Consider the following 23333-nt stretch of genomic DNA (forward strand, 5'->3'; position numbering starts at 1 on the left):
TACAGTGACCCAGGACACTGGCTGGGAAGTTTTCTTTGTTTTGGCAGATTCCTCTGCCCTCCTTCACCTTCTCCAAGGTAGCGAGAGTAAGTGTCCAGGCATGAGCCTTGGGGATACTGTCCTGCCACTACTGGCTGAGTAACTTGGGAAAGTTGTCTGACTCTTGGGCCACATTTTTTCTTTTGTGTAAAATGAGGCATTTGAAATAGATGCTATCTCAGAGTCGCTTCATTTCTGAGATGCAATAAATTATCTTTTCTTCCTAGATGATAATGTAAGCACAAAGAACAAAACTATTTAAAGACCACACACATACCCTCTCAAACAAATCACCTCCCTTTGGGAAAGCAACATGTTCACTGTGATAATTCAGCATCAGGACCTGAGGTGGTGGGAACAGCTTTGGCTGGTTTGCTGCTCTCCAAGGAGCTCCTGTGCCGGCCGCATTGGACAAGCATCTCTGCCCTGCGGCGCAGAGTCTCCAGGACCAGCAGATGGCGGACTTGCACAGTCCACACATTTTCCAGGTTCTCAAGGTAAATGGTACTGATTAACATCCAGAAATAACACCCACTGATGTTTGAACAAATTGCAGCGTTTTCCAGGCCACTAAAACCATGGCACTTTGTGAGCTGGAACATTTGCTAATATTTAAAATGGTTAGAAAGATTGTTAATCTATAATACTTTCGAGTGTTAACAGCCTCTTTCACCCACGCATCAGAAACCCTTAATAAATTGGCCTTCTTTTTTTTCAGGTGGGGAAATTAGGGCAGAGGGTCAATTGGCTAAGATCACAGCAGAACTAGTCCAAATAATTCAGACTATACACCTTGGTGATCTTTTAGAATTGTCGTTCCTCTTGCCCTTCCTTTCTTTAATGCCCACTTCTCTTGGTTGTGGAGGGGAATGTGTGTGTTGACTGGGGATATGGAAGAGGAATTGACGTCTTCTGCACTTTGGGGCATTGCCACCTGCCATGGTCATCAAAGCTCCTGATCGCCACAACCTGTATTCAGAATACCTGTGATAATAAGAACTGGCATTTATTGATTACTTACTTTGAGCCAGGCATTGTTCTAAGCATTTCTCACACACTAATCATTTAATCCTTCCAGCAGCCCATAAAGGAGGCAGAGAGAGTAAGTAACTTACCTAGAATAACAGATCTTTGTATTTTTCTAGGCTCTAAAAGCAGCAATGACTTCAATCTATTTTTTAGTGGTAATCACTCTTTCACCCCAGATATTTTCCAGCTAACAGATCATTGACTGATTTTTAATATTTAAATTGAGAAATTTATTGGAGCTTTGGTGATAATCATGTAAGTAAGCCCTGGTTATAGTAGCTTGTAATGCTATTATTAGTGTTCAAGATTTCCTTTCACAACCTTGTGCTTAGAAGGAATGATTCACTAGAAATGGAAATAAGATGTAAATGAAATGGGGAAGCTTGGCAATTTAATCACTCAAGTAATACATATTTTCAAAGTGCTCACTTAATCCACTAGTCACAAGGCGGCATTAGAGATGTGTTGGGGGGTTTCACTCCAACAACATTTATTTATTTCAAAAACATACATAGTGGTTACTGCATACCAGGCACAAATATTAGTTCACTTAATTCTCCTCACAACTATGATGAGCCCCTTTTACAGATGAGGAAACCAAGGTTCAGAGAGGTAAGAAACATAGCTAGTAAGTGGCAGATCAAGATTTAAACCAGCCCCTAGCTTCTGATCCATGCTCATAACTACGAGGCTGTGCTACCCCTATCAATAGAAATCAGGTATGCTGGCGGGACGTACAGTAATTTAACCAGAGTCAAAGACAGAAACAAACAGTTATAGTGTTGATTTCCTCCTAACAACAATCCTTATATAGCAAATAATTTCTTTCTTTCCCTCTCTCTCTCTCTTTTTATTTTTTGAGACAGCGTCTCACTCCATCACCTAGGCTAGAGTGCAGTGGCACGATCTTGGCTCACTTCAGCCTCCACCTCCTGGGTTCAAGCGATTCTCATGCCTCAGCCTCCTGAGTAGCTGGGACCACAGGTGCATGCCACCATGCCTGGCTAATTTTTGTATTTTTAGTAGAGACGGGGTTTCGCTATGTTGGCCAGGCTGGTCTTGAACTCCTGGCCTCAAGTGATCCACCTGCCTTGGCCTCCCAAAGTGCTGGGATTACAGGTGTGAGCCACTGTGCCTGGCCATTATATAGCAAATAATTTCTAAAATAAAAAGTGAGACTAAAAATAGCTAAGTTAGCTACTGGCCTTGATAAAGGAGAATAGGAATTATAAAGAACAGGAAACTGTAGGGAGACCTACAGATGTTTTGTTTGTTTGTTTTTGAGACAGAGTCTCACTCTGTCTCCCAGGCTGGAGTGCAGTGGCATGATCTCAGCTCACTGCAACATCTGCCTCCCAGATTCAAGTGATTCTCATGTCTCAACCTCTGAGTAGCTGAGACTATAGGCGTGTGTCACCATACCCGGCTAATTTTTGTATTTTTAGTAGAGATGGGTTTTCATCATGTTGGCCAGGCTGGTCTCAAACTCCTGGCCTCAAGTTTTCTGCCTGCCTCAGCCTCCCAAAGTGCTGGGATTACAGGGGTGAACCACTGCACCTGGCCTGTTTTTTAAAATGGGTAGTGATGTTTGTGATACTTAGAACAATAATTAGTTCATCATTTTTACTGAAGACTAAGCAAAAGGAAGTTGTGTGATATCACAGTTGTGTGTGAGTGAACATCTGTTGTTTTTCTCCTTCCCCTTTCTGTGATGATGTCGTCCTTCACGGCATGTTTCCTAGGAGAAAAACCTTCTCCATTTATAAGGTGCATGGAATCCGCTGGGGATCTTGTTGAACTCTGGATTCTGATTTGGTGGGTCTGGGATGCAGCTCCAGATTCTGCATTTCTAACCAGCTACTAATGCTGCTGGTGTGCGGCCTGCTGGGAGTGGCAGGACTCCTTACCTTCCTCATCCTGCTTGGGTGTGGGGTTGCCAGAGACAGTACCTTCCACATCACATTCCTTCTACCTTCTGCATAGGAGTGGTTGTCATGTGATCCAGATTTGACTAGATATGATTCTTATCTGGAATTTGGTTCTCCTGCTCCCAACTCATATACCTAGGAGAAGCCTGGCTTCAGGAGGAGGCAAGGAAGCCAATTCACTGAGAGCTGCAGAAAGAGGAAAGGAGAAGGGGGAGAGAGAACAAGGATGACTGGATGATGTGCTTTGAGTTCTGGAGGCCAGCTCTATCCAGGAACACAAGCCAATAAAGTCCCTTTATGCTTAAGCTAATTTGTATAGTTTCTGTTACTTGCAATTAAAAGGGTTCTGCCTAATACGGAAGTAATTTAGATTTGATATAAAGGAGAATTCTTTACTGTAACAGGAGGGCGCTTTGCAACTCTTGCTAAAGACCATTGGGAACAGAACAGATACTGAGGTTATTTTAGGGAGACTTGCAAGAATAATATTAAAATATTTAATAATTAGCATGGCATGGATGCTGACCAGTCAAAACAGACACCAGCCACAGTGACATTCTGGGAACGCCAGCCTTGGTCACCTGGATGCCATTTGTAGTAGGTACAGGATCTACAGTATTTTTGTGTTGTGAGTTATATGCCTGCATTCTTTAGGCATATAATTTTGCTAAGGAGGCTTTCATTAATGCTTTAAAAGATACAATGTTCTCTTACCTTTTTTTAAAATAAGTTATAAACTTCCATTTTCCCCCAATATTTTTACACAGGGTTAATTCATTGTGATGTCAGGTGATCATCTTCATTTTTTTAGAATAATCTTCAGAATGTTCTCCTATAAAATTAATTTTAATATCCCTAGCCTTTACTTAAATAGGACTATCTTATATTATTCTAAATGTATTAAGTAGATAACTGATTAATATTACAAAAATGGATACCTTTAATCTTTAGGAATTCTAGAATATTAGATGAAGTCGAGAGTGATATTACAATTTGGTTTTACTTAAACATGCTAAAAATATACCAGAAGAAGCCAGAGTCAGTTTCCAGGAGTTACAACTATGGTGTATTCTATCTTTAAAATATGCTGTTATGAAGAGAAGTGGGCTAAAAGGCACAAACATACAGTAAGAGAGAAGGAATAAATTCAATGTTTGATAGCAGAGTAGGATGATTATACTTAACAAACATGTATAGTACTCAGGTGACGGACACCCTAAATACCCTGAGTCACTCACTACCCATTATGTGTAACAAGATGTCTGATCTACCCCACAAATTTGCGCAAATAAAAAAATAAAATACTCTATTAATCTCACCAGGAGTGGAATAAATTTTTGTGCTTGTGGATTGGTGGACAAGGGGAATAATGGTGATGGAAAAATCCTGGAGACGCTTAGGCCCAGTCACTCTTTTAATGCTTTCTTTGCTTACTTAGTTTAAAGGTGGGAGCATTGCATTAGAAGCCCAGAGATCCGGCTTTTAGTCTGACACCTCCCTGAATTCCACTCTGCACCCCCACCTCACCGTCTCAGTTTCTGCTTCCCCGGCCCGCCCTGAAGCCCCACTCTTTTGTTGTAGAACAGCATTAGTAGAGTCTATCAGAGGGAAGAGGCTCTTTCTAGGAATAAGATGCTACACGTTATTCTTAAAGGGAACGTGCTGCAAGCTCAGAGGCTAAGATTCTCCAAGAAAGAGTCAAAAGGCCTTGATACAACAAAGCAGGATTCCAGAGCAGCCTGGCATTGTTCCAGTCTGAAGTATGGGGTGGTTCCAAAATTGGGGACCGTGGAAATAGATTACAGGGATCTGTGGCTCTAGAACACACAACAGACCCTGTGAATGCACTGAATAAATACCTCGCACGTATTGTGCTACTGTTTTCTAATCTATGGAAGTGCTGTTTAAATGACCAAATTACAGTTATTAAAAGTATGAATAAAAGGAATGAATTCATAGTAGCTTTCTCTTATATATATTTTTTAAAGACCTAAGATCTAAAATATGAAATGCTAAGTCTAGGTCATATGGCAGTCTCCTCCTTTAAAAATTTAAGCATGTTAAAAAAAATAAGTCCGTGAAATTTTATAGGTAACTTGGATTTTTTTAAAAAATGAAAACTGAAATTCTTTCAGCAGTGACTGTGTGTGTTTTTTTAATTCCCTGGATTGATCAGAGGGTGCTCGCTCTCTATCCTTAGGACTGTGAAGAATTACCTAGAGGCAAGACAAGAGCTCATTAATTAAATATTTCCGCGCTGGACACTCATCTGCCTGACAGTTCTCTCATTATGTGCCCCTGAGAGGGGGACTAGTTGTCAGCAGCTGATGTAAAATAATTTTCTCACGGTTATAACTGCGTGGGTAAAGGCTTGATAGCAGTTCTTCATGTCTGTTAGGTAAATCATTTGAGGGAAAAATGGTTCTGCGCTGAAGGGAAAGTCAAAACATCTCATGCAAAATCTTAAATAAGTTGTTTTTTTAAATGAGAAAAAAAAAATGAACTTTCTCTAACTGTAAGTATCTTCTGTTTGTGCCCCAGGGATCCCTCTACCTTTGCTGTCTCTTTCCTCAGGTATATTTCTCTATTTATTCATATAGAGAATATGCTATATGCCCTGATGTGCTATATCAGAAATAGCAAGCGTGACTAATTCAGTTATCCTTAGTGAATATTATAAACTGAGAAATTTGGTATTCTTTATGGCCTTTTTGGTGGGCAGGATCTCTGGGTACTCTTTCCGTATTCTTTTGCTTGATAGAGATGAGCACATTTAAAAGCCAAATCTATGTCTATGATCTATGTCTGCCTGCAGCTAACCCCAGTTGAAAATTTTGCTTTGTGATTTCTTTTTATTAGGTTGATGCAAAAATAACTGCAGTTTTTACAGCCTCTGGTTATGTGGTCAATTATTCTGGTTCCAACTAATCACATCCTGTTTCTGTAATTGATTTAAATGCAGTAAAAGGAGGCCCATCTTGAAATGTAAAAAGTCATCAAAGATCTACCTCCAGAAAAGCACTGGATTCATAGTTTTACAAGCCAATTCCTTAAAACTTCAATGAAGGAGATACTATTTTAAATATTTCAAAGCTTCACAATGCATTTTATAATCACTCTGATGCTCAAAGAAAACAACATGTAAAACTTCCATACAAAGATGCCTTAGTGCCCTGCCCACATCCCATGGGGCCAGAGTGGGTTCTGACTTAACCACAGCCAGTCTGTCATTTCTTCTGCCTCAGACTTCCCCAATCCCTGGGAGCTTGGTCAGCCTGCGTGCAGGAGCAGCCCAGGAGTGTGGATGAGTTAGTGTCCCCAAAGAGAACTATCAGCCACTGGGGTTAAAACTCAATAAGGAGGCATTCCAGTGTGCATGGTACACAATTCCTTTGAAGGTCCCCAAGGGGAATGGAGCCCCAGTTGCCCTCAGTAGTCATCAGCTCATCAATGTACCCTTTATTGTCTTTTCCTCTGTCTCTGTTTCATCTCTCCACTCCCTCACTTCAGTTTCCTGGGATTACCTTTCAAGTAGATTACTGTACTAATGTCCCTATATCAGGCTCTGCTTTTTGGGGGATCTGAACTAGGACTGGAGGAAGACAAGTTTACTGAAAACAGTAACTGCTGTAAACAACTAGTATTCTAGGCACAGGTTTCCAGCAGTCAGGGGCATCATGCTGCAGAGGCTCCTGCTTTAAGAGTCAGCTGCTGGACAGAATCCAGGAACTTCAGCTGCCATCCCACTGTTGCTGCTGCTGTTGGCTATCGCTGCTTTTGGTATTACTGTTGCCGCTGCATCAAGTTTAGACTGTCCTTGAGGCTGCTGCCGCTATCAGATATACCATCAGAAACCAGAAATAGGAAGAGGATGGCTTCTTCCATCCTCCAGTCTTCCAGTCTTCTCCCAGTGCCTTCCATTGGCAGAACATACTGGAAGCCAGCCAGAAGAGTAGCTGGAAGATTCAGTTTTCGGTGTCCCTGTCTCCTTAAATATCAAAGCACAAAATGTCATGAATGAGGCCTTAGAGCAAAATGATTGGCTACATAAAACCTATAACCAAAACTGTACATAACTGAAATTCTAGCTTTTTAAAAGTCGGGGACAAGTGAAAGGGTTATCACAACTCTTTTTTTTTATTTTTTTAAGTTCAGGGGTACATGTGCGGGTTTGTTACATAGGTAAACTCATGTCATGGGGGTTTGTTGTACAGATTATTTCATCACTCAGGTATTAAGCCTGGTACCCATTAGTGATCCTCTCCCTCCTCCCACTCTCCACCCTCCAGGAGGCCCCATCTATATGTCCCTGTGTTCTCATTATTTAGCTCTTATAAGTGAGAACATGCAGTATTTGGTTTTCTGTTCCTGCATTATTTTGCTAAGGATAATGCCTTCCAGCTGCATCCATGTTCTTGTAAAGGACATGATCTCATTCTTTTTTATGGTTGCATAGTATTCTTGCAGCCACATTTTCTTTATCCAGTAAATGTACCACATTTTCTTTATCCAGTCTACCATTGACGGGCACTTAAGTTGATTCTATGTCTTTGCTATTGTGAATAGTGCTGCAACGAACGTACAAGTGCATGTGTCTTTATGATACAATGATTTATATTCCTTTGGGTATATACCCAGTAATGGGATTGCTGGGTCAAATGGTAGTTCTGTTTTTAGGTCTTTAAGGAGTAGCTACACTATCTCCACAATGGTTGAACTAATTTACACTCCCACCAATAGTGTATAAATGTTCCCTTTTCTCTGCAACCTCGCCAGCACCTGTTATTTTTTGACTTTTTAGTAATAGCCATTTGGACTGTTGTGAAATACTATCTCATTGTGGTTTTGATTTGCATTTCTCTAATGATCAGTGATGTTGAGCTTTTTTTCATATGCTTGTTGGCTACATGTGTATCTTCTTTTGAAAAGTGTCTGCTCATGTCCTTTGCCCACTTTTTAATAGGGTTGTTTTTTTCTTGTAAATTTGTTTAAGGTCCTTATAGATGCTGGATAGTAGGCTTTTGTCAGATGCATAGTTTGCAAAAATTTCCTCTCATTCTGTAGACAACTCTTATTTTTTTGAGCTGTATTGATATCTAGTTCACATACCATACATTCATGGATAATGTGCAACCACAATCAATTTTAGACAGTTACATCACCTCAAAAAGAAGCTTTGTACCTTCCATCCCATATCCCTTCCCCACCACATTCCTCCCTCTACCTCACCCTTAAGCAACCATTAATCTATTTTCTGTCTCCATAGATTTCTTTATTCTGGACTTAAGTATAAATGCAATCATACAATATTTGTTTTTTTGTGACTGGCTTCCTTCACTTAATGTTTGCAAGGTTCATCCATGATTGTAGTATTTATCAGTACTTCATTATTTTTATGGCCGAATAATATTCCATTGTAGGATTATACCATATTTCACAATATTTATTTAACATTTTCCTTTAAGTTGTGACTAGTTTAGTTTAAAAAGAAGCACGAATCTTGGGAAATTAAGGTAAAATTGTCCTTATTTTCTGATTATAGAATTGTGTGTCTTGAAAAGCCAAAAGGATTACGGAAAAATGATTATAGCTAGAGAGTTCTGCATGGTGACTTTCCTGTATGACAACCAGTTAGCAAACATTTTGAAAACTACTTCATTTATATCTACAAAAGCTTCTGTACTTATAAAAAAAAATAAGATGCAATATACAGGCTACACACACACACACACACACACACACACACACACACACAAGTCTTCTCAGAGACATGCAACTTCTATAATTCAGAAGCCAACATGTTCCTGGAGTAAAGACATATTGTAAATTGAGTGTAAATTAATTTATAAATATGTTACTTTTGTATCAAAATCCTAATAACATTTATATAGAAACTTTGTAGAATAATTCTTAAGATTACCTGAAAGAAGAAATGGATGGGAATATATAAGCAAAATTTTGAAAAAGAAAAGCAGTGAAGTGAGAGTATATTATTAGATATTTAATGTATTATAAATTAAAAATAAATAACAGCTTGTTTCCATAGCAAGAATAATAAGTAAAATGTAATACGAAACCCAGAAGCAGAGTTTAGTATGTATAAGACATTTGTATGTGATAAAAGTGTAATTACAATTCATAATTATTATTATTAACTCATCAATTATTATTGAATGGGACGCCTGACTAGTGATTTTCAACCCTATAGTCATCAAAGTTCCTAGTTGCAGACAACAAAACACATTTTAATAAATTCCTTTCTGCCTAAAATCAGCTAAAGTTTTAGGTAGCCTTCAGAATCTCCAGGAGAACTGGAAGAAAGGAACTGCCAACCTAGAATTCTTTACTCAGCAAAAGTATCCTTCAAAGAGAAGGTGGAATGAAGATATTTCCAGACAAAAACCGGGAGAATTGTTCACAAACAGGCTTTACTAAAAATAAAGTACCAGAGGAAGGTCTTTAGGTAAAAGCAAAATGATTCCAGACAGAAACACAGAAGCATAGGAATAAATGAAGAGTGATTGAAGAGGGAAATGGAACAAATATAAATGAATGTTTGCTATATAAACAAAAAAAGGGCTCATAAGGTTTAAAATGTATGTACAATGAAAATAATAATTAAAAAGGTGGTGGTGGGTTAAATGGAGTTAAAGTATGCTAAGGACATAACATTGTCTGGGGAGTAATAAAAGAATTAGTTTCTACTCTAAAAAAATCAAGAATGCATGCTGTCAAGGAGGGTAACAACTAAAAGAATAGTAAAATAATATATAATTAACAAGCTAATAGAGGGGAAAACGGAACAACAATATATGTAATTCATTAAAGACAAGAAGAAGAGAAAAAGTAACATAAAACAAGTTGAAGAAACGGTTAAGTAAAACAGGAAAACAAACAAGTTGGTAAATATAAGCCCAAATTTATCTGTAAGTACATTCAATATTAATAGACTAAATATCCAATTTAAAAAGAAAAGTTACCAAACCATATTAAAAATGAATTCTGCCCAATTATATTATACTTAGAAGAGATACATCTTGAATGTAAATACAAAGGAGGATTGAAAGTTAAAAGAAGGCTGGGTGTGGTGGCTCACGCCTGTAATCCCAGCACTTTGGGAGGCTGAGGCAGGCAGATCACGAGGTCAAGAGATCAAGACCATCCTGGCCAGCATGGTGAAACCCCGTCTCTACTAAAAATACAAAAATTAGCCAGGCATAGTGGCACACGCCTGTAATCCCAGCTATTTGGGAGGCTGAGGCAGGAGAATTGCTTGAACCCAGGAGGTGGAGGTTGCAGTGAGCCGAGATCACACCATTGCACTCCAGCCTGGGCAACAGAGCGAGATTCCATCCCCCACCCCCCCCAAAAAAAGTTAGAAGAAATACCATAGAAAACCTAAGCAAAAGGAGTTATTCTGATATCGACCAAAAACAAACATTACTATAAATGAAAAAAAGACATTTTAAAATGATAAATGGTCAAAGAACCCCAAAATAAAGCAATTACAAAATTGTGTGCATCTAATAACCTAGGTTTCAAATACAGAAAGCAAATTTTTTAGAACTAAATGAGAAATGGAATCATAGTGAGAAACTCCAAAATTATAGTGAGAAACTCCAAAACAAGTCCATCAGTAATTGACAGAACTAAAAGATGAACCTCACAAAACTCTAAGTATATAGAAGATTTATTAATATGATTAATGAAACTAACAAAATCAATGTTATCCACAGATAGAATACTGTAACCAGCAACTGCAGAGCATGGAACATCATCAATATTGCACATATGCAGAACCATATAGCATTTCTTGACACATTTTACAAGATAAAAATTGTACAGATATGTTCTTAGGCCTCAGTGCAGTTAAGCTAAATAACAACAGAGCAATAACAATAAAATGCCCAAAGGTTTGGAAATACACTACTAATTACACAAAGGTCAAAGAGGACAGTACAATGAAAACTAGAAAATATTTTCAGCTGAATGATAATGAAAATACGATACAGCACAACTTATTGTAGAATATAACTAAAACCATGCAGAAAGGAAAATTTTTAGCCTTAAAATGCTTATATTATTTCACTGAAAAAGTCATGATCAAAGTGTCATTTTAAAGAAATTAGAAATGCTACAGAAAATTGGGCCCAGAGAATGTAAAAAAAAAAAAAAGGAAAAAATGAAGATGAAAACAGAAATTAAAGGAGTAAAAAACAAACATACAATAGAATAAAAAATGCCAAATTTGGTTATTTGGAAAGATTAACAAATTGATAAGCTTCTAGCAAGACTGATTGGGGAAAGAAAAAGAGTGAAGGCACAAAATTACTACTATCAGAAATGAAAAAGGGGACATCACTGCAGATTCTACAAAATTAGTAAGAAAATAGGAGGATATTACAAAGAACTTTATGTGAATAATTTTGAAGAGGTAGATAAAATGGACAAAGTGCTAGAAAATAAAAGCTTAGCAAGAATAATACAACAAGATATGGAAAATCTGAGTAGTCTTATAACCATTAAAATAAGTTGAATATCTTCCCAAATGGAAATCGCTAAGCCTAGATGCTCAAACCTTCATTTAAAAAAGCATCATTCTTAAATTATCCCAGAGAGTAGAAAAAGAGTAATTCTGCTTAACGTGTTTTATAAGGCCAACATAACCTTCATACCCAAACGTAACAAAGACATTGTAAGAAAGTATACTCAATCTTTCTGTGAACTAAGATGCAAAAATTCTAAATAAAACATTTGCAAATTAAATCTATTGATTTATAAAACAATATACATATATCTCAATCAAGTTACTTTTACACCAAAGTTGCTTTAATATTAAGGTAACTTATAACATGAAAGAATAAAGAAAAAATATGATTATCTTAGAAGATACAGAACAAACACTTGACAAGATCCAATGATTATTAAGAAAACTTAGGAATAGAGGTAACTTCTTTAATCTGAAAATATATGTCTTCAGAAAACAAAAAATTAGCTGGGTGTGGTGGCGCATGCCTATGGTCCCAGCTACTCAGGAGGCTGAGGCAGGAGAATCACTTGAACTTGGGAGGTGGGGGCTGCAGTCAGCTGAGATTGCGCCACTGCACTCCAGCCTGGGTGATAGAGCAAGACTCCATCTCAAAAAAACAAAACCCTATAGCAGCTTCATACATATTGGTGAAATACTGAAAGCTTTCTCTTTGACATCAGGAATGAGACAGCCTGCTTTTCATCACTGCTATTCAACACTTTCTGGGAATCCTAGACAGAGAAAAAGGCAAATAAAAGAAATAAAAGTTATAAAAATTAAAAATAAATAAACATAAATCTTTTGTTATTTGCAGGTGGCATGATTATGTGTGTAGAAAATCCAAACAAATCTGCAGAAAAGCTAAGAATTAATGAGTGAATCTAGAAAGGATCTTACGCATGATGTCAATATAAAACAGCAGTAAACAATTCGAAAATAAAATTTTAAAAATATCACAATATCATCAAAAACATTAAATAACTAGGAGAAAAATCTAGCAAAAGATGTGTAAGACTTCTCTATAAAACTTTATAAAAACTGTAAAACTAAATAAGTGAAGAGACATGTCATTTTTACGTATTGGAAAACTTTTTTTTTTTTTTTTTGGTGAGTCAGAGAGTCTTGCTCTGTCACCTAGGCTGGAGTGCAGTGGCTCAGTCTCAGCTCACTGCAACCTCTGCCCCCCAGGTTCAAATGATTCTCGAGCCTCAGCCTCCCAAGTAGCTAGGATTACAGAGGCGCCTGCTACCACACCCAGCAAAATTTTGTATGTTTGGTAGAGACGGGGTTTCACCATGTTAGTCAGGCTGGTCTCGAATTCCAGATCTCAAGTGATCCACACACCTTGGCCTCCCAAAGTGCTAGGATTATAGGCGTGAGCCACTGTGCCTGGCCTGGAAAACTAAATATTGTAAAGATATAAATTCTTCCAAATTTATCTATGTAGATTCAGTGTGGTTTCAAATAAAGTTGCAGTAGACAGTATTTATAACAAAAGTAGGTGACGTGGTGTGTGAGGGATGGAGATGGCCACCCAGGGAAGACTTGCTGCCTAGATGCAAGGACTTATTAGCTACTTCAGGAGCTGTCTCAGCTGCATAGAGCTGCCTTACCTGGGATCATACATTCCCAGGGCAGCCCACATGCAATGACGGAATGAGGTGAGATATAAACTCCTGGCCATTTTGGCACAATATGGGAGAATTCTGACAGCATTCAACAGTCAGGTTCTGGGAGAGGATTGAAATTGGGAAGGGGCACATGGAGGAGCTCCAGTACTGGCAGGCAAAGTTCTATTTCTTTTTTTTTTTTTCCCACTCTTCATAAACATAATTTTAATTGCAACATAGCAATCTATTCTAAAAATTCCCTCCCTCCTTCCCTGCATCCCTCCCTCCCTCCCTCCCTTCCTTCCTTCCTTCCTTCCTTCTTTCCTTCCTTCCTTCCTTCCTTCCAATAATTTCAATCTTTATTTTAGATTCAGGGGATACATGTGCAGGTTTGTTAACTGGGTACATTGCATTATGCTGAGGTTTGGGGTACAGTTGATCCTGTCACCCAGGTAGTAAGCACACTGCCCAACAGTTAGTTTTTCAACGCTTGTCCCCTTTCTTCCCTCCCCACCCAGTAGTTCCCAGTATGTATTGTTGCCATGTTTCTGTAAGTGAGAACATGTGGTATTTGGTCTTCTGTTCCTCTGTTAATTTGCTTGGGATAATGGCCTCCAGCTGCATCCATGTTGCTACAAAGGACATGATTTCATTCCTTTCGTGGTTGCATAGTATTCCATGATGTATACGTACCACGTGTTCTTTATCCAATCCACTGTTGATGGGCAGCTAGGTTGAGTCCATGTCTTTGCTATTGTGAATAGTGCTGCAATGAACATATGAGTGCATGTGTTGTTAAGTTCCATTTCTTGACGTAGGTGGTGTTTGACTCATAATAATTCATTAAGCTATGCATTTGCCTTGTGATATTTTCTGCATCTATGTTTTACTTTATAATAAGTACCTCATATCATATGGAAATGTCAATTCCAGGTTGATTATAGATATAAATGTGAAAATTAAACGTCTGCAAGAAGTAAGAAATAAAACTTCTAGAAGAAAACAAAGAAGAATATCTTCATGACCTTGAGAGTGCAAGCATTTAAAAAACAGGACTTAAAAAGCACTAACTCTAAAGGAAAAGATAGATAAATATGACTAAGTTAAAATTAAGAACTTTTGTTCAGCAGAAGGCAACATAAAGAGGCTGAAAAAGCAAGCCGGAGAGTGGGAGAAGATATTTGCAAAATATTAATACATACCCTCCAAAAAACTCAAATCCAAAATATATAAAGAACTCATCCAAACTGATGAAAAAGTAACCCAATAGAAAAATGGGCAAAAGACTTGAGCAGGCACTTCATAAAAGAGGATATCTAAATGGCTAATAAACATGTGCAGTCTCCAGCCTGCTGGCCGACCCTGCAGAATTTGGATTTGCCAGCCTCCACTATCATGCAAGCCAATTCCTCAAATCTCTCTCTATATACACATCCTATTGGTTCTGTTTTTGTGGAAAACCCTAATACAACATACAATGTGTAATTATTTAGTACATCATTAAGAACAAAAGCCTTTAGAGGTGGCAACTATATACTGTTTCTTGAATGTGTTAGCCTCCCCCTCCTACCTATACCCAGCATATAGCATATGCCAGGTTTTCACTAACTACCTATAAAATTGATGATTAGGCCAACTGCAGTGGCTCACGCCTGTAATCCCAGCACTTTGGGAGGCCGAGGCAGGTGGAACACTTGAGGTCAGGAGTTCGAGACCAGCCTGGCCAACATGGTGAAACCCCGTCTCTACTAAAAATACAAAAATTAGGCAGTGTGGTGGTGCACGCCTGTAATCCCAGCTACTTGGAGGCTGAGGCAGGAGAATTGCTTGAATCCAGGAGGCGGAGGTTGCAGTGAGCTGAGATAGCGCCATTGCACTCCAGCTTGGGCGACAGAGCAAGACTCCATCTAAAAAATATAAATAAATAAAATTCACAAATGAATGCTACAGAGGGGGGTCTTAAAGGAAAAGGCTTTCATATAATTTAGGGAGTGTTACACATATAAAGTTGACTCAAAACTTGGGAATGGTTTTTATTTAATTTTTCTTTCTGATTTGTTACTAAACACATAAACAGAAGGCCTGGGGCTTTCTAGAGATTATAACAACTGGAAGCAGAGGAAACTTCGTTCATTAGTTGGGATATAGGCAGAGAATGTGTGCTTTCCAGATTTGGCATTGGAAAAATAACACTTAGGAAATAGGAAAGTGGTTCTGTGTGATCACCAGCCATGAGGGCCTTGAAAGGTGCTCTCAAACAGCAACACAAATAATATGTGGATATCTTTCTGTCTGTCTCAATCAATCAATCAATCAATCAATTTAATCTATCATAGTTTTAAGTGACCAGGAGCAAAAGATGGGAAACCCAGAGGGACAGGAGAAAAAACTGAAACCAAAACCAAAACACCATGTTTGCTCTACATTTCCAATTTGAATTAAAATAAATGGAGTTTAAAGCATTTTACAAAGGATCAAAGTGATCAGATCATGAATTAGAAGAAATAAAAATGAAGTTTAGAAGTGACAGATGGGAACCTGGCCTGGAAAGCAAGCTGAAGCTTTCTGCCAGTGAAGAGGTTCAGAGGAAACGATCAAAACATTGTGAACACTGAAAGCTTTTGCCACAGTGAGAAGAGAGAATGCCCCAGAAACTCGAGGCCATCCAAAAAAAACGACTTATTGTCTATAAAATAATATCTGAAGTGTCCTTTTTCCCTCCTCTGGCCGAAAGCTTACCCCCCTTTCTCTTACTCATCTCATCTTACAAGTCAAATTGCTCTTACCTGTGATTGGCCGAGGGAGGTGATGATGCCTTCAAATTGAATACATTTGGTGTATTCTCTAGTGATGGCTTCTATGACTCCAGCAAAGGCTGCTCTGATGCTAGAGGCTGGGAACTTTTGTCGGGAGAAACAACTGAGAAGGAAGAGAACCAACTATCCTAAAAAGTAGTCAGTGAGCTGATACTATATTCTTGGCATCACTTATAGGTTCCAGGGATGAATCAATGACCCAGACGAAGTTTCTGTATTCATAAAGCCTGAATTATATTGGGAAGAAACAGACAATAAACACATATAAAAATATAAAATAATTTCAGGTAGTGACAAATGCTAAGATACAGAGGAACTGGGGGGTGCTGTTTATCGGGATTAGGTGGGGAAGCCCTGACGTTAAAGTTGAGACTGAATGATTAGAAGGAGGCAGCACATCAAGCTCTCCATGAGTAGAATTCCAGACAGAGGGGATAACATCAGGAACAAATACATGTGTTTAAGGGACAAAAAGAAAGGCAGGTGTCAGGAGCATGGTGAGTGAGGGGAGATGGCAAGAGATGAAGTTGGAGAGGGATGCAGAGGTCAAATCACATGGGGCTTTAGGGACCAAGATAAAGAGTTCAGATTTTATTTTAATTGCCATGGAAAGCCATTGGCAGATTTTTCAGCAGGAGAGTGATAGGATCTGATTTATGCATTCCATCCATTTTTGACCCTTTCACTTGAACTTTGGCTAGCAATTTTTTAGCCTGGCAGTGCCATTAGAGAGCCTCAAATTACTAGCTGTAAATCAAATTGATGGGAAGTGCTGTCATTCTTAGAAAAACGTTGAAGTCAACATAGCAAGAACCAACTCAATTTAAAAAAGAAGAGATTTTAACAGACTCTTCAGAAAAAGAAGATATATGCATGGCCAATAAGCATATAAAAAGATGCTCAACATTATTAGTCAGGAAAATGCAAATTAAACCAATGATGAGGTACTACCATACATACACTATAATGGCTAAAATTAAAGGCAGACAATATTGAGTGCTGACAAGGATGTGAAGTGAGGGAACTCTCACACATCACTGGTGGGAATGTAAAATGATTCAGCCACTTTGGAAATGGCTTGGCAATTTCTTATGAAGTTAAAATATTTACTTTTTTTGCCATATGATTCAGCAATCCACTGCTAGGCAAGTGAAATAAAAACATATGTCCATACAAAGATGTGTATACAAATATTCATAGTAACTATTCATAATAGCCAAAATCTGGAAGCAAAATCTGGAAACAATTGAAGTGTCCATCAGCAGGTAAATGGATAAATAAATTACAGTGTATTCATGCAGTGAAATACTATGAAGCGATACAGAGGAGTGAACTACTGCTATAAACAGTACAAATGAATATAAAAATTTTTCTTAACAAAAGAAGATAGACACAAAAAGAGTATATAAAGCAGAACTCCACTTATATGGAAATCAATAAAAGGCAATGATTGATGGTAACAGAAGGCAGATGAGTGGTTGCCTAGGGGTTGGGGGTGGGACTGTAGAGGACTTGAGGAAACTTTTTGGAATGATGGGAATGTTATATATCTTGACTGTGGTGACGACTACATGGATGTATACATTTATCTAAACTTATCAAACTGTGCACTCAAAAGAAGTGTATTTTATTGTTTGCGAATCTAAAAACATAGCAGGAAATACTTTCTGTATATTCTCATTAGGGAGCTGTTACCTCTTAAAAAAAATCATGTAACCTGTCTCTGTCAGCCTTGACCCAGTGAGGAGGTGAAGACCCTGGCTTAGTCAATATGGAGACACGACTTTCTTCCTTCCTTCCTCCCCTTTCCTACTTCCAACTCATTCCCTAGGGCATCCTCTGTCCTCTGCTCTGACCTCTGAATCTTAGGTCACAGAATTTCCTGCCTTGGTTGTATAATTCACATCCTTAGACTTTATTAGAGTGGCCCGTCATCTTCCAGGAGCTGTGGATCTAGTTGGTGTAATCAGTATTTCTTTTGGGAAAATTGGCTAATTCATCCTCTTACACCCTTTTGATTGGACCACTTTGTATCAGGTTATTTTCGAAGACTTTCAGTACTAATCTTTTCTCATTTTTGATCTAGTTCTTGCATTTTCCTGGAACTATTCAGCTTACTATAATTCTCTGTATTACTCATTCCTTCCTTACACTGATAGAAATATGTGAGTATACTTTACAGACAGATATATCCTTCATAGAGGCAACAGAATACCCATAGATGCCAACAGTTACATGTGCTACTGCAGAATAATGAAGAGAAGACTTTTCTTTATGAGCACCCTAACTGTGAGGTGCCTAAAATTGGGTCTACCACTTGAGTAAGTGGCTGAGTTAAATATTTTGACTTGAATTTCATAACTTGTCACAGTGATCCCATTGGGAGTAGAGTGGTAGGTTGCCAAGAAGGCAATTAATTATCTCTCTGCCGCCCTGTGTATTAAATTTTGTTCCCTCTCCCTAAAGAGAGGTGATGCTATGGCTTACAACTACTGTGCTCTTGCAGAGCTCTCCACACCAATTAGAAGGGTTCTGTGTTATGACAGTCTTTTATAAGATGTTATGACACTCTTTGATAGAAAGCCGTTGTCCCATTGAAGCAGAAACTTCATCAAAAGCACTAAGAATCGAGGGTGTGCTCTAGATACCCCGAATGGGAGGGGACTCTGTGCTCACTGGGTCCATCAAACAAAGCGCCTCCCACATAGGTCTTTCCATGTGATCCAGCTATTTCCCTACATTTATCTCCTAGCCCCACCCTTATTTAAGTACACAGTTGGAAGAAGGTCTGTAATACTGCATTTAACTCGCTACTGGGAATGCTTTATTGTGTTTATTTAAAATTCTTAAAGCTCTCTTCTGTGAAAGGCAAACTTGCCCTTAGCACATGAGTGGGTAAAGGGTATGGGATTACTTCTTGATTAGAGTGATGCTTTTTGTTAGGAAAGGGTGAAAGTCACTGCTATAAGCCATGTCATGACATTACTGGGAATCGTGGATTTTAACATCTCCAACTCTAATTTCCTTTAGGAAGCCTTGCCTGTGGTCTCACATCAAATTTTCCTATCTGGACAGTGAGAAGTTTAATCTCAGAGATGTGAGACCAAGTTGCTAATTACTTAGCACCCGAAATTCTTAGATACTGTTATGTTTCCATTATCAGGGCCAAGAACTGAATAAATAACTCATTGCATTGGTTGTCTCAGTCTCATTTCTCCCTAACTTTCTTTAGCTTTAAGTACAGCCAATTCAAATAACAAATAATAAGCAAACAAAACATCATCAAACTGGAGATTCAAAACTTGCTAACTTTCTTACCCCTGGACCTTTTCAGATCAAGGGGTCTTAAACTGAGCACATGGAATCTCTCCTTAAGAAAGTGTAAAGTTTTATGGGAAGATGTGCAATTAATTCAACCACTTGCAGTCCTAAATATATAGCTGGATACTTCTTAACCTTGGTGTATCTATTCTTAATCATATTTGTTGTATCTTTGAATCCAAAAAGGTTCTGGTTAGACCAATAGTGAAGAATTACGTTGAATTAAGTAATAGTTTTCAGAAGTGGATAAGATGTTAATGTTAATGGTGCTATCCAATTGCTCATTTTCATCTTGGAAAGTTTCCCTATTTTTATTCAGAGGAATTACTCTGATATGTTTACCTATAGTCCTTCCCGATCCTGATATACTGTCTAGGACAGTATATATGTCTATGTTTTCCTGTTCATCAGTACGTAGCAGTCATTACTATGCTGGCAGGTGTTTTGTTTGTGTGTGTTTTGTTGTTGTTTGGTCTAATATTTGATATGTAGAAATGTATCATAAAAGGATGAGGCAATGGAATAGACCTCTCAGAAACAGAACTAAACTGGCCGGGCGTGGTGGCTTACGCCTGTAATCCCAGGGAGGCTGAGGCGGGCGAATCACAAGGTCAGGACATCGAGATCATCCTGGCTAACACGGTGAAACCCCGTCTCTACTAAAAATACAAAAAATTAGCCGGGCGTGATGGCGGGTGCTTGTAGTCCCAGCTACTCAGGAGGCTGACGCAGGAGAATGGCGTGAACCCGGGAGGCGGAGCTTGCAGTGAGCCGAGACTGCGCCACTGCACTCCAGCCTGGGCGACAGAGCGAGACTCTGTCTCAAAAACAAAACAAAAAAAAAAAACAAAAAAAAGAAAAAAAAAAAGAAAGAAACAGAACTAAACTGTAACTCAGGAAGCCTGAATTCTAGTCCAAGCTGTGCTTTGTACTGGCTATATCATTTTGGGCAAATCACTTTAATCTGTATCTTCGTTTCTTCATTTTAAAAAATGGAGGTGATGATGTTAACTTTAAGTATTATGTGGAAGCAAACACAGAGCCAGGCATAAACTAGATGTTGAATAAATGTTTGTTAATTCTACATCTAAAAATATTAATGTTCTGTAGCTCTAAGTTTTTATACATTCTACAATAGCTCTAAATGTTAAAAAAAAATGCTTGTGTTTCTCAAAACCAGAAAGTGGCAGAAGTTGAGGATTATTGTGATAAAGTTAACAGCAATGAATTCTGAAGAGCATGCATTTGTTTTTAATCCTTACATGATTCTAAGATGGTGGTGCTTACCAACATACTAGGGTCGAGGTAGGAAGAAGGGAAAGATACAAAAATGAACAAGATATTATTCCTGCCTTCTGGGAGCTTACAGGCTCAGACCTACCATCAACATGATAGAAATCTTGGACACTGGTGCATTTGTTTTACGCTCTATGAGCATCTCAACTTCAGTAGAGAATTGTTAATTTATTTGAAGTTGTTTTACATTTGTAATGGTATAAAATATATTTTATAGGACTTTCTACTTGTATTTAGTTAGAAGTTTGTTCTTACTTTAATCTAGAATAATTGCTGTCATGTTTCCAGCTACTTTCCTTTAAAATTCCCCTTAATCATTATCTACCCTTGTTATCAAGAGCTAGTCAAACCAATCTCATAGTGTATGTGTTTGTGCGTGTGTTTATATATTTTTTCCCTCTTCATTTGTTTACTCCATTAGTTGTGATACAGGCTAAATTGCTGTAACAGAGACCCAGAAATGCAGTAGCTCTGTCCTATGAGGTCATTTGAGGACTGGGCTGGTGAGTCAGCTCTGCTCTGTTGAACATGTGGCTTCCATTTTAGACATCCAGGGTAGCTGTGTTAATTATTGACATTTCTCAGCCAGAGGGAAGAGGGCAGAGGAGGTCCATGGCAAGGAGCTTTATTTATCATTAAGTAGGTGACTCAGCAGCTACACACAACACTTCTATTCACATTACGTTGGCCTGAACTTCATGTTACTACTTCTAGCTGGAAGGGAGGCTGGGAAACGTACTGTCTAGATGGGCAGTGGGGGATTCTGTTACTTAAAGGAAAAAAAGAGAATGGGCACTGGCTGATAACTAGCAGTGTCTGCCAGTCACTTACTCCTCAATCAGTATTAATTCACATGTGAATACCAGTCTCTCATTCGTTCATGTTCTCATTGGCAACATGGGGATGTGACTGATAATTCCAGTAAGACAAGAATACAAGAATGTTACTGGTCCTTGGAATTAGTTTCTTATGTCTGTTTGTCTGTCTACCTACCTATCTATCTACCTTATTCGTCCTGTGGGTACACAATTATCTGCAATTCTGCTGTATGAACCTCTTGGTTACGGGTAGGTTCATTTTTGCCAAAAAATCTGTATTTCATTGGGAAAGTTAACTGCATGCAAATGAATAACTAGGAGTTAACTAAGAGTAGAAATAATTATAAAACACTTGTCAAAAGTGAAGTGCCATAGCAATGCTAAAAAATGACACTAAGAAAAAACTGATTGTCGTGACTTCAAAGGAAGTGTGAGGTTGGAGTGTTTTGACGTGTATAGCATTTAAATGATCTAAATAGGTGTTTAGGTGCTCACATGAGAGACTGTTCTAGCTACTTAGGGGGAAATAAGAGTCTGTTCTATCCACTCAATGCTTAGATGTTTCCGTGAGAATTTTATCATCTTTAAATATTATTTAAAAAGTAAAGATTGTGTTGTTCTTGGTTAAATTTATCTAAAGGAAAAACATTGCCTAACAAAAATAAGACATTCTTCTTAGACTGCTTTGTTTCTAGAGCCTCTGCCTCTGATATAATCTGTTGCCTCTAGATCCATGTGTTGACCAGACATACAGGAGTTAGTGCTGTAAACCAGCAGTGAACTCTTGTCAGAGATGGAACTTTGGGTTAGGCAACTTTCTTGTTTTAAAAACATGTCTTTATATATTTATTAGATATAGGAGGCCTCTCCAAAGGCAATAATCTGGTTATTTGAATGTTAAATGAAAGAGAAAGGAAGAGATTATATTGCTTGTAAGTATCAATAGTTTAAAAATAAGAAAACATAAATAGTTTGTATAGGAAACCTTGGAGTGTTTGAGATATCCCAAAACTCAACACCATCTACACTCACGAATGCTTTGGTTTAAAATATTTATTCTGGTGTGTTATTTAGCACAGTGGTAAAACCTCTGGCTCTGGGCTCAGTTAGAGTTGAGTTCAAATCTATCCTGTGATCTTGAGCCACCAAGATCTTCTTTCTCCATACCTGAGTTTCTTTACTGGTAAAATGGGTACTGGAGTAATAATAGTACATTATAGCGTTTTCTTTCTTTCTTCTTCTTTTTTTTTTTTTTTTTTTGAGACATAGTCTTGCTCTGTCGCCCAGGCTGGAGTGCAGTGGCACGATCTTGGCTTGCTGTAACCTCTACCTCCTGGGTTCAAGTGATTCTCCTGCCTCAGCCTCCTGAGTAGCTGGGATTACAGGCTCCTGCCACCATGCTCAGCTAACTTTTTGTATTTTTAGTGGAGATGGGGTTTCACCACGTTGGCCATGCTGGTCTTGAACTCTTGACCTCAGGTGATTCGCCTGCCTCAGCCTCCCAATGTGCTGGGATTACAGGCCTGAGCCACCGTGCCTGGCCTCTAATAGGGTTTTGAGAAGTGAGATGAAGCATGTGAAGTGCTTACCGTAGAATATGGTAAATGCTCAACAAATGTCAGGGATGATTTTCTGCTTTTCTTTGCTCAGATATTCTGTGAAGGGCAGCATTCACAGTATTTTTCTGTGGATGATTTCAAATCTCAGACTCACTGGGGTTCCATAGAAATATTCTTTTATGATGTGGCAGTATACCTTTGTGGTTGGGCCCAAACATCTTCCACTAATCTCTACCTGTGTACCTTGGGTCGAGTTAGTTAACCTTTCTGTGCCTTGATTTTCTCATTTGTAAAATGGAGGTCATAATAGTACCTACCTCATAGGGTTCTTATAAAGACTGACTAAGATATGTGAAAGTTCTTGTGACCATTAAAAGGTAGGTAAAG

The 23333-nt window shown here is 38.4% G+C and overlaps 1 long non-coding RNA gene across 1 annotated transcript in view; it reads left to right on the plus strand.

Annotated features, from left to right (window-relative positions):
• The first annotated feature begins 277 nt into the window (after positions 1-277).
• The window catches only part of LINC00609 (long intergenic non-protein coding RNA 609), a 94862-nt gene continuing 71806 nt past the window's right edge, over positions 278-23333 (plus strand). The window contains exon 1 of the long non-coding RNA NR_073454.1: positions 278-536. This is a non-coding gene — a long non-coding RNA (long intergenic non-protein coding RNA 609). The remainder of the gene's footprint in view (positions 537-23333) is intronic.

The sequence above is a fragment of the Homo sapiens genome, chromosome 14 (genome assembly GCF_000001405.40).
Source record: "Homo sapiens chromosome 14, GRCh38.p14 Primary Assembly".
Taxonomy (NCBI): domain Eukaryota; kingdom Metazoa; phylum Chordata; class Mammalia; order Primates; family Hominidae; genus Homo; species Homo sapiens.